At 43.1% G+C, this 13,152-nt stretch overlaps 2 pseudogenes across 4 annotated transcripts, besides 1 other annotated feature; one reads left to right on the top strand and one right to left on the bottom strand.

Annotated features, from left to right (window-relative positions):
* RN7SL625P (RNA, 7SL, cytoplasmic 625, pseudogene) lies at window positions 291-581 on the top strand (annotated as a pseudogene).
* Window positions 4,047-4,190: a silencer, noted in NCBI's record as "fragment chr7:72308407-72308549 (GRCh37/hg19 assembly coordinates)". NCBI's record gives its function as "represses an EF-1alpha promoter that drives an FKBP-Casp9 reporter gene in an ReSE screen in K562 erythroleukemia cells {active_cell/tissue: K562}" and the evidence as "EXISTENCE:reporter gene assay evidence [ECO:0000049][PMID:32094911]".
* On the bottom strand, window positions 4,619-12,645 carry SBDSP1 (SBDS pseudogene 1; annotated as a pseudogene). Of its 4 annotated transcripts, NR_024110.1 has the most exon segments (5): window positions 4,619-5,441; window positions 8,090-8,254; window positions 10,220-10,416; window positions 11,205-11,326; window positions 12,235-12,645. The product of NR_024110.1 is annotated as an SBDS pseudogene 1, transcript variant 1 (transcript).
* Window positions 12,646-13,152: the final 507 nt, after the last annotated feature.

The following is a 13,152-nucleotide window of genomic DNA, read 5'->3' as shown; positions in this document are numbered from 1 at the left end:
CACCATGCCCGGCCAGCCTCTCTTTATTGGGAGCTTTCCATCCACTCTCCATCTCTTCTGCCTTTTCTTTTTAAATCTCCTCATCACTTCTTGCGAACTCTCCATGGCTCCTAGTGCCTGAGGTGTAGGTATAAGACAGCTTGAAACCAGTAATCTGCAATTCTTTCCTGGGCTTTCCGTTCTCACAACAGAGTCTGTGTCACCTGCTAAGGTACTGAAACTGACTCAGTTCTTTCACAGAGCAGATGTTTATGGTTTCTTTTGAATAAACATAGAAATTGATCCTTCTAGCCTGGTGTGGTGGAGTGTGCCTGTATTCCCAGCTACTTGGGAGGCTGAGGTGGGAGGATCCCTTGAGCCCAGGAGTTCTGGGCTGTAGTGTGCTATGCCAGTCAGGTGTCTGCACTAAATTTAGCATCCACTTCCTGGGAGTGGGGGACCACCAGGTTGCTTAAGGAGGGGTTAACCAGCTCAGGTCAGAGACTGAGCAGGTCAAAACTCCCATGCTGATGAGTAGTGGCATCACGCCTGTGAACAGCCACTGCACTTCAGCCTGGGCAACATAGTGAGACCCTGTCTCAAAACAAAACAAAAGCAAAAGCAAAAGCGAAAAGAGAAACAAATTGACCTTTCCAGTCTTGAAATTTGAGAAAGTGACATTTGCCTTATCTGAGTTCCTTTCTCAGGAAATCAACCATCAGGCCTCCCAGATGGTATCAAGGAACTGAAACTTACCAGATCACTGCATTTGGACAAGGAGATGCGGGACCCCTCATCTGTCATAATGGCCTAACAGACCACCTGCTGCCTGTTGATCAACTCCTCTTCCTTACCCCTCCCTAATTCCTGTCTTACTGCATGTAGTTACATTTCTTCCTTCCTGTATAAACCTCTAATTTTAGTTGGTCAGGGAGACGAATTTGAAACTGATCTCCCATCTCCTTGGCTGGAGCACCCAATTAAAGCCTTCTTCCCTGGCACTACTGATTGGCTTTCTGTGCAGCAAGCGGCAGGACCTACACCAAATCCCCGGCATTTTGGCAACAGCACTGGTCATGCTAGGGAAAAAGTTCAAGATTTCAACTTCCAAGACCCAGGGAAGCCTCTCACAATTTCTAAAGGGCAGGGCAGAAGAGATCTTTGAAAGTGAATCTGAATGAGTATAAAAATGCAGTTTCACTTTAAATTTTCCAAAAAGCTTATTAAATTAGTATTTTCATGTGCTTTTGAAAACTTTATTTATTTATTTATTTATTTATTTATTTAGAGACAGAGTCTCACTCTGTCACCCAGGTTGGAGTGCAGTGGCGTGCTCTCGACTCACTGCAACCTCTGCCTTTCAGGCTCAAGCGATTCTCCTGCCTCAGCCTCCTGAGTAGCTGGGATTACAGGTGGCACCACCACCATGCCCAGCTAATTTTTGTATTTTTTTTTTTTTTGAGACAGATTTCGCTAGTTTTGCTCTTGTTGCCCAGGCTGGAGTGCGATGGCGCAATCTTGGCTCACTGCAACCTCCACCTCCCTGGTTCAAGTGATTCTCCTGCCTCAGCCTCCCAAGTACCTGGGATTACAGGTGCCCGCCACCACATCCAGCTGATTTTTTGTGTTTTAGTGGATATGGGGTTTCATCATGTTGGCCAGGCTGGTCTTGAACTCCTGTCCTCAAGTGATCCACCAGCCTTGGCATCCCAGAAGGATGGGATTATAGGCATGAGGCACTGCGCCTGGCCTAATTTTTATATTTTCAGTAGAGATGGGGTTTCACCACATTGGCCAGGCTGGTCTCGAACTCCTGACCTCAGGTAATCTGCCTACCTCTGCCTCCCAAAGTGCTGGGATTGCAGGTGTGAGCCTCCGTGACTGGCTGAAAACTTTATTTCAAAACTAATCATGCTGGTTGTAATATGCTTGTGTAGGTTACATGTGTATTTTTCCACAGAATTTCTATGCTCTTTCAACCGTATATAAACCTGTACACACATATTTAGGGTTTTTCCTCCAAAAAAGTGACAAAAATGGGATCACACCATAATACATTCCTCCGTAGTTTTATTCCCTCTTCCGTCTCTACCCCTCCTCCACTTATTACCATGGACATCGCTATAGGACATACGGGAAGATGTCTCATTTGTTAAAATATACTTAATATTCCACAATAGGCTGGGTGCAGTTGCCCACACCTGTAATCCCAGCACTTTTGGGAGGCTGAGACAGGTGGATCACCTGAGGTCAGGAGTTCAAAACTAGCCTGGCCCAAATAGGGAAACCCTGTCTTTACTAAAAATACAAAAATTAGCCAGGCATGGTGGTGCGCACCTGTAGTCCCTACTATTCAGGAGGCTGAGGCACGAAAATCGCTTGAATTCGGGAGTTGGAGGTTGCAGTGAGCTAAGATTGCACCACTGCACTCCAACCTGGGCAACAGGGCGAGACTCCATCTCAAAAAAAAGAAAAATCCACAATAAGGAGATGTTACAATTCATTTAACTACAGGTTGAGTATCCTTAATCCGAAAAACCCCCAAATTAGAAACATAATGCTCAAAGGAAATGGTCCCTGAGCATTTTGATTTTTGAATTTTTTTTTTTTTGAGACGGAGTCTCGCTCTGTCACCCAGGCTGGAGTGCAGTGGCATGATCTCATCTCACTGCAGCCTCCACTTTGCAGGTTCAAATGATTCTACTGCCTCAGCCTCCTGAGTAGCTGGGATTACAGGCGCGTGCCACCATGCTCAGATAATTTTTTTTTTTTTTTATATTTTTAGTAAAGACAGGGTTTTACCATGTTGCCCAGGCTGGTATTGAACTCCTGACTTAAAGTGATCCACCAGCTTTGGCCTCCCAAAGTGCTGGGATTACAGGCGTGAGCCACTGTGTCTGGCCCACATGTTTATTATTTCAGACATTTACTCCACATCTACTAGGTCCAAAGCATGGTGGGATATACACACACATTGCTAACTCCCTTGCCCTTAAGGAGCTCACAGTCTAGCCTGAAGGCAGATAATTAAGCAGCTCTAATACAAGTTTGAATAAATCTAGACCCATGAAGGAATTTAAGTAGAGTACTGGGTTCCAGCAACTGGAGCAAATACTTCTGTATGGGGTACAAGGGAAGCTTCAGAGAAAAGAACTGTGGTAAAAGAAGAGGCCTAAGTCTGAAATGTCATTGTGACCAAATGCACACACCATCAGCTTGCACTGAAAAAGTCCAATCAATCAATCGTTAAAATAATCCATTATGGCTGTGGTACTGGGAAGATGATCATGAACCAAAAATGTTAAGTTCTTTGATAATGAAATTAGTATAAAATTAAAAAAATAAGTTTAGATGATGACTCAGATGTGATCTACATTTGACATTTCTTGAAGTTCCAGCTTTTTAGAAAAAAATGAATATTCAGAATCAGAAAATCTTTGTTTTGAGATGGGGTCTGGCTCTGTTGCCCAGGTTGGAGTGCAGTGGGGTGATTTTAGCTCACTGCAACCTCCGCCTCCCGGGCTCAAGTGGTCCTCCTGCCTCAGCCTCCCAAGTAGTTGGGACCATAGGTGCACACTACCGTGCCTAATTTTTTGTATTTTTGGTAGAGATGGGGTTTCACTGTGTTGCCCAGGCTGGTCTTGAACTCCTGAGCTCAAGTGATTCACCCGCCTTGGCCTCCCAAATTGCTGGGATTACCGGTGTGAGCCACTGCGCCTGGCCCCAGAAAATCTTAAGGAAATGTTTCATTAAATGTTTATATTTTCTTACTAAGAAAGATAGAGCTATTGATATATTGAACAAGTAGCTGTATCAAAACAGCAGCCTAGCTTTAGCATTAACAGAAAAAGAGTTCATTCCCATGTTATCAAACAAGAATATATTTTGTTAACACTGTAAGAAAAAATTTTGACTTTATAATCTCAATTATTTTGAACTAAAGGGACATTTCTGAGAGCTTGTATTAGCAGGGAGTTCTGTGTGCTTATAAACCAATCAGTACCTTTTCAAGTCAAGAAGCCTGTTTTCAGTTAAAATAAAAACTGCTGTCCAGAAATACATCTGTATATTTATTTTGAGTGAATTTGATTTATATTCTAGAATGTATCTCTTTTGAAATAGATTTTTTTTTTTTTTTTTGGAGCCAAATTTCACTCTTGTCACCCAGGCTGGAGTGCAGCGGCACGTTCTCAGCTCATTGCAACCTCTGCCTCCTGGGTTCAAGCGATTCTCCTGCTTCAGCCTCCCGAGTAGCTGGGACTACAGGCATGCACCACTATGCCTGGCTAATTTTTGTATTTTTAGTAGAGACGGGGTTTCACTGTGTTGCCTAGGCTGGTCTCGAACTCCTGACCTCAGGTGATCCGCCTGCCTCAGCCTCCCAAAGTGCTGGGATTACAGGTGTGAGTCACCTCCCTGGCCTTGAAGTAGATTTTTAAAAGCTTGCACCTTGTCCATTTACGTGTTTAAATACTAAAATAATACTTCAGTTACATCCCAAGTGTTAGCAAAAATTTTTCAGGCGTTTACAAGTACAGGCCCTGTTCTAAGCACTCTTCATATGGACTTATTTAGTTCTCCTAACAACTCCCTAACCCTACCACAGACACAGGCAGAGAAAAGAAAGGGAGTTAGGAAGTTGTCTAGAAACACAAGCCATAGTTTAATAAACATAAGAGTGGTTTTATTGATTACATACAATTTTAGCTATATTAATATATATTATAAACTTTAAGAATTAGAAATAAGTGACTTTTATTTTTTAACCAAGAATAATCTAAGTTATGGCAGCATGTTCAACGAAAATTATTTAAGTCCGACACAATTTTTCTATATCTGTTTCTCAGATAATCAGGAACATCATCCAAGCTTTATATTACGATACCATAATGACCCTCAGAACACAAGTTCCATTAAGTAGAAATGAAGCATCATGTTTTCTTTTTTAGGAAAGACCCCCCTTTTGTCGTATAGACATACCCCTAATAATCTTACTCTACTGTACAAAAAACTTTTCACCCACAAGAGCTGCCTCAAGTAACTTTCATTTTGGAAAGCTATCAAGGCATGAGACAGAGTAGCAAAATGCCACTCTGGATTTTGCATCCTGGAGTTTCAATTTTGCTTTAGGATTTAGACCCCAGTTTATAATTAAAACCAAATCATTCCCACATTATTATACTTATGTAGGAAAGCCTTGCTGTGTCCACTGTTAACACAAAGATAGAAAATGTCAAATAGTTTGAGCAAGTATTTGGCAGACCACAGACATGAAACAGTGCTGTTGGAAACGAAAACACTTTAGTGTTTTAGAGGTGAAGAGACTGATGGGTGTCATTCAAATTTCTCATCTCCTTCTTCAAATCTTTCAGATTGAGTACTTCCAAAGAACCTTTGCCTTTGGTTTCCTTTTTTATTAGCTCATCAATTTCTCGGAAGCAGCCCAGGTCAATCAGACATACCTGAAACATTTAACGTAGCAGTTTACCAAATGAGGATGAGCAAGACACAGAATAAACTCAGCTTTAACTTTGAGGCAAGCACAATGCTGTCCAGATCTCTAATACCACAGTTCTATGGTGCAATAGATAAGACAATGGGTAGGGCGGCACACTGGGTTCCAGTTCAGCCTCTGCCCTCAAGTATCCATGTAGCCCCCTGTGACAAGGCATTAATCCCTATGTTTAAACACTTATTCTGATTCTTCCGCTGTAAATGGAAGGGACAAACTAGAAAACTCTGATTCTTCTCATACTAAAATTTAGCATTACATTTTATAGCTCAGTAAAGTCACCTCCACGTATGAAGGAGAAAAAGCAATGTGAAGACTTACGTAGACACCATGTGTATGTTTTTGTTTTATTTTTTTTTTGAGATAGAGTGCAGTGGTGTGATCTTGGCTCACTGCAGCCTCCACCTCCCAGGTTCAAGTGATTCTCCTGCCTCGGCCTCCCAAGACACTGGGATTACAGACGCCCACCACCACACCTGGCTTATTTTTTGTATTTTTAGTAGAGACAGGGTTTCACCGTGTTATCTGCTCGCCTCGGCCTCCCAAAGTGCTGGGATTACAGGTATGAGCCACTGTGCCTGGCCCACGTGTACAGTTTTGCAAAGATTTTAGAACTTCAAGTAGTGTCAGATGGGTTAGTTCACATCTACAGTGGATACTCACATACTCAACACTTCTCTACAGGTCATTTACTTTTAAAAAGAAGCTGCAGACAGGGCGCAGTGGCTCACGCCTGTAATCCCAGCACTTTGGGAGGCCGAGGCTGGTGGATCACCTGAGGTCAGGAGTTCGAGACCAGCCTGACCAACATGGAGAAACCCTGTCTCTACCAAAAATACAAAATTAGCTGGGCGAGGTGGCACATGCCTGTAATCCCAGCTACTCGGGAGGCTGAGGCAGGAGAATCGCTTGAACCCGGGAGGCAGAGGTTGCAGTGAGCTGAGATCACACCATTGCACTCTAGCCTGGGCAACGAGAGTGAAACTCTGTCTCAAAAATAAATGAATAAATAAATAAATAAGCTGCAAAGCCTTGAAAACATGAATTTGTAGACAGCTGAATTTACACTGTGTTTGAAGCTGTGGGGTGAGGTCATAAGGACATAATGGTTTCGCTGCTTCTTTAAAATGTTCTGTGTTTAGTGTCACCAGGTTCACACACTAATATCCTCTGGAAACACCCTCACAGACATACCCCAAATAATCCTTTATCAGGCTTCTAGGGATTCCTTTCCAGTCAAGTTGACACCTAAAATTACATCCACAATTCCACCCCTTATCAACTTGGCACCCAGACTCATCTCTTTAAACCATTTTTAATTTTCAAATGAAGACAATAACAAGGTCCTAGCTTTTCCTCACATGATGCAATTAACCAGACGCGACTATCCTGCATACAACTCAAAGAGTGCTAATCCTTTTGCCAGAATTCAGCTTTCAGAATTTCATCATTCAGGATTCAATCTTTTTTTTTTTTTTTTGAGATGGAGTTTCGCTCTTGTTGCCCAGGCTGGAGTACAATGGTGCAATCTTGGCTCACCACAACCTCTGCCTCCCATGTTCAAATGATTCTTCTGACTCAGCCTCCCAAGTAGCTGGGATTACAGGGATGTGCCACCACGCCTGACTATTTTGTATTTTTAGTAGAGACAGGGTTTCTCCATGTTGGTCAGGCTGGTCTCGAATTCCCGACCTCAGGTGATCCGCCTGCCTCAGCCTCCCAAAGTGTTGGGATTACAGGCGTGAGCCACTGCGCCGAGCCAGGATTCAATCTTTTGGAACTGTGATTTTCAAGATATTAGAAGTTCAGGCTTTGGACTTTAGAGATTTTGATTTTTTTATGATTTCAACATTGGGATTGTGGTATTTGGGATTGTCTTTTAGGATTATGATCAGCACTGGAGTAAAGCACGCAATTGAGCTATCTCTGAAAACTCAATATAAATTCCCATAGTGTGCTTTGTACTAATTTTTGCAAAATTTTTCAGGTAATTGGAATTATCAATCTTCCACTAAAATAGCAATTTTTAAGTGGCTTATTTTAAATAGTTGCTAAATTTGCTAAAATCATGTATCTAAAACACTATGCATAATATATGACAAAAATAAATGCTGGGAAAAAAATAAAAGGATTTGTGGTAAACAAGGCTGACCAACCTTTAGTCTTAAGAAAATATCTGGCTGGGCACAGTGGCTCACGCCCGTAATCCCTGCACTTTGGGAGGCCGAGGCGGGTGGATCATGAGGTCAGGAGATCAAGACCATCCTGGCTAACACGGTGAAACCCCATCTCTACTAAAAAGTACGAAAAATTAGCCAGGCGTGGTGGCGGGCGCCTGTAGTCCCAGCTACACGGGAGGCTGAGGCAGGAGAATGGCATGAACCCGGGAAGCGAAGCTTGCAGTGAGCTGAGATTGCGCCACTGCACTCCAGCCTGGGCAACAGAGCGAGACTCCATCTCAAAAAAAAAAAAAAAAAGAAAAAAAAAAAGAAAAGAAAATATCTGACTGTTTACAATGTCTGAATGTTTGCTACAAATTTATTACTAGAGAATACAATATTTAGGTAACATGAAGCAAAGAAAATATTTGACTCTTACGATTTCTAACTGTTGGCCATAATCTTTACTTTCTATGACCTTGATCAGTGGCTTGAGCTTTTCTTTCAGCTTCTTGCCTTCATTCACTGGAAGGATGAACTGAAGCCTCATGTGAGCACGTTCTATCTTCATTTTCTCTTTTAACTGCTTTATCACTTCCAAAGCCTACCAAGACAAAATCGAGAATGCAATTTCTTCTACTATATTATTTCATAAGGTTTTCAAAAACAAAGTAGTTTCCATGTAGTTGGATTAGGTAATGGTTTCTTAGGTATAACATTAAGAACATAAGTGACCGTTAAAAAAAAATAGAAAAATTGGACTTATCAAGAAGAAAAGCTTTTGTGTTTCAAAAAATTATGAAGAAAGTGAAGGCCAGGTGTGGTGGCTCACGCCTCTAATCCCAGCACTTTGGGAGGCCGAGGCGGGTGCATCACAAGGTCAGAAATTCGAGACCAGCCTGGCCAACATGGTGAAACCCCGTCTCTACTAAAAATACAAAAAAAGAAAAATTAGCCGGGTGTGGTAGCACACGCCTGTAGTACCAGCTACTCAAGAGGCTGAGGCAGGAGAATTGCTTGAATCCGGGAGGCAGAGTTTGCAATGAGCCGAGATCGCGCCACTGCACTCTAGTCTGGGTGACAGAGCGAGAATAAAAAGGGGGCAAAGAACCTGAACAGAGATTTCTCAAAAGCAGACAGACGAGGCACCAATAAGCACATGGAAATATGCTCAAATCATTATTAAGGAAATGCAAATCAAAACGACGACAAGATACCACCAGGATGGCCATCATCAAAAAGACAGACAATGACAAGTATTACTGAGGATGTGGAGAAACTGAACTCTTAAACGCTGTTGGTGGTAATGTAAAATGGTGCAGCTGTTTTAGAAATAGGTTTGGTAGTCCCCAGGTATACAGAAATGAAAATATATGTCTACACAAAAACATACAAGAAATTTTATAGCAGCATTGCTCATCATAGCTCAAAAGTGAAAGCAACCCAATGTCTATCAACTGATAAATGAATGAACAAAATATGTTTTTTTCTGTACAGCGGGCTATTATTCCGGCATAAAAAAGAAATGACATGCTGATGCAGGTTACAACATGTATGAACCCTGAAAAGGCCATATATTGTATGATTCCATTTATATGAAATGTCCAGAATTGACAAGTCCATAACGACAGGAGATTAGTGGTTGGGAAGGGCCTGTGGGGGGAAAATGGGGGATAGCTACTAATGGATACTGACTTTCTTTTTGTGGTGATGAAAATGTTCTCAAACCAGGTAGCAGGGAAGGTTCCCAAACTTTGTTAATATACCACTTAAAGTGTACACACTTTATGAGTGTGAAATTTATTGTATGTGAATTATATGTAAATTGAAAAATTCAAAAAGAGGTGTTAAAATGACCCTTTAAAAACTCAAGTTTTGTTTTTAAAAGTTTGATTTGGATAGGAAGAAGAAAGTCCTATATACATATTTGTGTTTACTTGAAAAAAAAACTACCTATCTTTACAACCCCGTCCTTTTCCTCCATCTCTTCCACAAAACTTCTACCCACTTGCTTCCATGCAAACCCATTTTTTTAAATTTAATTTTTTATATTAAAAAAATTAGAGGTAGGGTACGGTAGCTGATGCCTGTAATCCCAGCACTTTGGGAGGCCAAGGCGGACGGATCACCTGAGGTCAGGAGTTCAAGACCAGCCTGGCCAACATGGTAAAACCTCAACTCTACTAAAAATAACAAAATTAGCTGGGTGTGGTGGCGCGTGCCTATAATCCCAGCTACTTGGGAGGCTGAGGCAGGAGACTTGCTTGAACGCGGGAGGTGGAGATTGTAAGTGAGCCGAGATCGTGCCACTGCACTCCAGCCTGGGCAACACAGTGCGACTCTGTCTCAAACAAAAAAACAACAATAAACAAAAAAATTTAGAGATGGGGCGTCCCTATGTTTCCCAGGCTGTTTCCAGGCCTCAAGCAATCCTCCCATCTTGGCTCCCAAAGTGCTAGGATTACGGGTATGAACCATTGTGCCTGGCCCCAGACCCATTATTTTAATGATTTCTTCAGAGAAAACTGATTTCCATGGCTATATTTTGATGACATGAGAGACCACTCACCTGCTGTTTTGTACTCCTGTTGGTTTTCACCAAATAGTGGATGTCCTTCATGGCTCTCTCAATAAGGATCACGGTGTATGGTCTCTTTGTTTCAGGAGTCACACATTTGTCTGCCACAATAATTGCAATGTCCCTAAACATCTGCTCCAGTTGTGTGTGTCTTTATCTGATACTTGAACTTCTCCTTTAGTCAAAATCTAAAAAAATGCCAACACAGTTAAGAAATCACTATCTTTCTCTATCACACACTATTTATTAACTAACGACAAAAAATGAGTAACTGGGGAGAAAATTAAATTTCATCCTCTCCAGCTATTAATATGTAAGTAATGGTTTGAGCTTTGCCCAAAAGATGCAAGAATCTTTTGGCTGGGCGCAGTGGCTCACATCTGTAATCCCAGCACTTTGGGTGGCTGAGGTGGGCATATCACCCAAGGTCAGGAGTTTGAGACCAACCCGGCCAACATAGTGAAACCCCATCTCTACTAAAAATCCAAAAATTAGCCGGGCAGGGTGGTGGGCACCTGTAATCCCAGCTACCCTGGAAGCTGAGGCAAGAGAATCGCTTGAACCCAGGAGGCAGAGGTTGCAGTGAGCTGAGTGCAGTGAAGTGCACTGCACTCCAGCCAAGGGCAACAGAGCAAGACTCTGTCCCCTGCCAAAAAAATAAAAGGGTCTGAAAGATGAAATACTTGAAAACAAATTCAGTTTTCAGGTATACCACATTCTATAAATGAGGTAATTTATAGAAAAATGAGGTAATTTAGTAGAAAATCTGATTTCAGGAGGTTTTGGCAAAAAAAAAAAACACAAAAAAACAAAACCACCAAGTTCTTTATTATTAGAAGTGATATTGTGCAGTTCACATTATTGCTTGGTTAGTCTTTCCTCCAGAAAAACAGCCTTTAATGTTTAATATATCTACAAATACGTTATAAATGGTTATTAGGGTTAGCTATGCTGCAGCTGTTACCCGCCTGCTTACAGATTTCAGTTTGGTCATCTGTTCCAAACGCACTGATGAGATCTTCCTTCTTGGCAACCTGACCTTAGGAAACATTTACAAACACTGAGTGGGTCTGCAGAACTTCATCAAGGTCTTTTTCCCTTGTGAGGGCAGGAGAGAAAGTCCTATGTGAATATACTTGAAACTTGGACATGCATTTACATTTAAATACGAGATGGCAACAACATGAACGGCAAGACACAACAAATCCCCCTGATGACCTTTAGTGTAGAGGGCAGTTTTCTTCCCCCCCCGCCCTTAGATGGAATTTCACTGTTTTTGCCCAGGCTGGAGTGCAATGGCGCGATCTCGGCTCACTGCAACGTCCGCCTCCCGGGTTCAAGTGATTCTCCTGCCTCAGCCTCCTGAGTAGCTGGGATTACAGGCATGCGCCACCACACCCGGCTAATTTTGTATTTTTAGTAGAGATGGTGTTTCATGTTGGCCAGGCTGGCCTCGAACTCCTGGCCTCAAGTGATCTGCCCGCATCGGCCTGAGGGAACATTTTCAAAACTCAGAACTGTATTTGCCCTACCATTTGCTCACTGGAGAAAAATGTCATGGGAGGACGTAAGAAACACAAGGGTGGGGTGCAGACAGCTGCTGCCACGGAATGCCAGTCCCTAGATGGCAGCAGTGAAGACACTACGCACTTTAAACTGCTAGGGCTACTGAGATCTATGACAGTATTCGGAACACTAGGTTCTCAGCCATCATTATTCTAGGAAAAGGACCACAATTATGAGATTTCTTGGCTGCAGCTTTTATGACACCAACAAAACAAAACCCCAAACCAACAACCCAATCGGAACCAACCAAATAAAGAAACCCTTGGCTTAGGCGCCAAGCTCGGACAGCGACGTCTCATGCTCACAGCAGGAATGTTCCATTTCCTCCCGGGCCAACAAACACCCCAGCCTGGCCCATTCACTCGACTTGGGCAGAGACAGGCCGCCTCGGAGGTGACGGCTCAGGCCCAGGCCCAGGCCCGAGGGAGGGGGCTACTCACAAGCCGCTCCGCCAGCCGACGACCTTGTTTTTGTAGCAGGCGATTTCGAAGCGCTTCCTGGCGCGCTTCATCCGTACCACGGCCACATTGGTTAGGCGGATCTGGTTGGTGGGGGTGAAGATCGACATCGCGGCTGTTCAAAGACCCAGAAGCCGGCAAACCAGGGCTGACCCGCGCCGTCCAGCCTGAAGGCCACCAGCGCCTCGCGGTAACGACCGAGCGGCGCGCGGCACTGACCCAACCACAAGTGCGCGGCGCCGCGACTCACTAGCTTCAGGCAGCCGCCACAGCGTGTCTGGCAGGCTTACTTACTGCGCAGGCGTCAGGTGGAGCAGAAGCCGGGAGGGGAGAAGTGAGCGATGACGCCTGCGCATTGTGGCTTTTACCGCCATCTTTCCACGCCCAAAAAGGGAGGTGCTTTTCCTTGGCGTTTTACTTTCGCCAATGAGCTGAGAGCTCTGACAGGATGCTCGCGGATGTTTAGTGACCGGGTTGAAACACAGCGTTGGCACCACCTCGTTCCGCGGAATTCAAGGGCCAGACCCACTTTATAATAGAAATTTTTTTATAATGGAATTATTTTATGATAAATATTTTTATTTACTCACCCTTTTATAATAGAAATATTTTAACATAAAATGTAGACAAAAAAGTGTAATGAACCTTCCATGTACCCATCACCGCGCTATCAACATTTTGCCATCCTTGTTTTATTCTTTTTTCATTTTTTTTGTTGCTTTTTTATTTACTTTTTTTTTTTAAAGTCAGTCTCACTCTGTCACCCAGGCTGGAGTGCAGTGGCAGGGTCATGGCCCCACTGCAGCTTCGACCTCCTGGGTTCGAGCGATCTTCCAGCGTTAGCTTCCCAAGTAGCTGGGACTACAGGTGTGAGCGGCCACGCCAAGCTAATTTAATTAA

This window comes from Homo sapiens, chromosome 7, assembly GCF_000001405.40.
Source record: "Homo sapiens chromosome 7, GRCh38.p14 Primary Assembly".
Taxonomy (NCBI): domain Eukaryota; kingdom Metazoa; phylum Chordata; class Mammalia; order Primates; family Hominidae; genus Homo; species Homo sapiens.
This window is presented reverse-complemented; position numbering and strand designations above follow the sequence as displayed.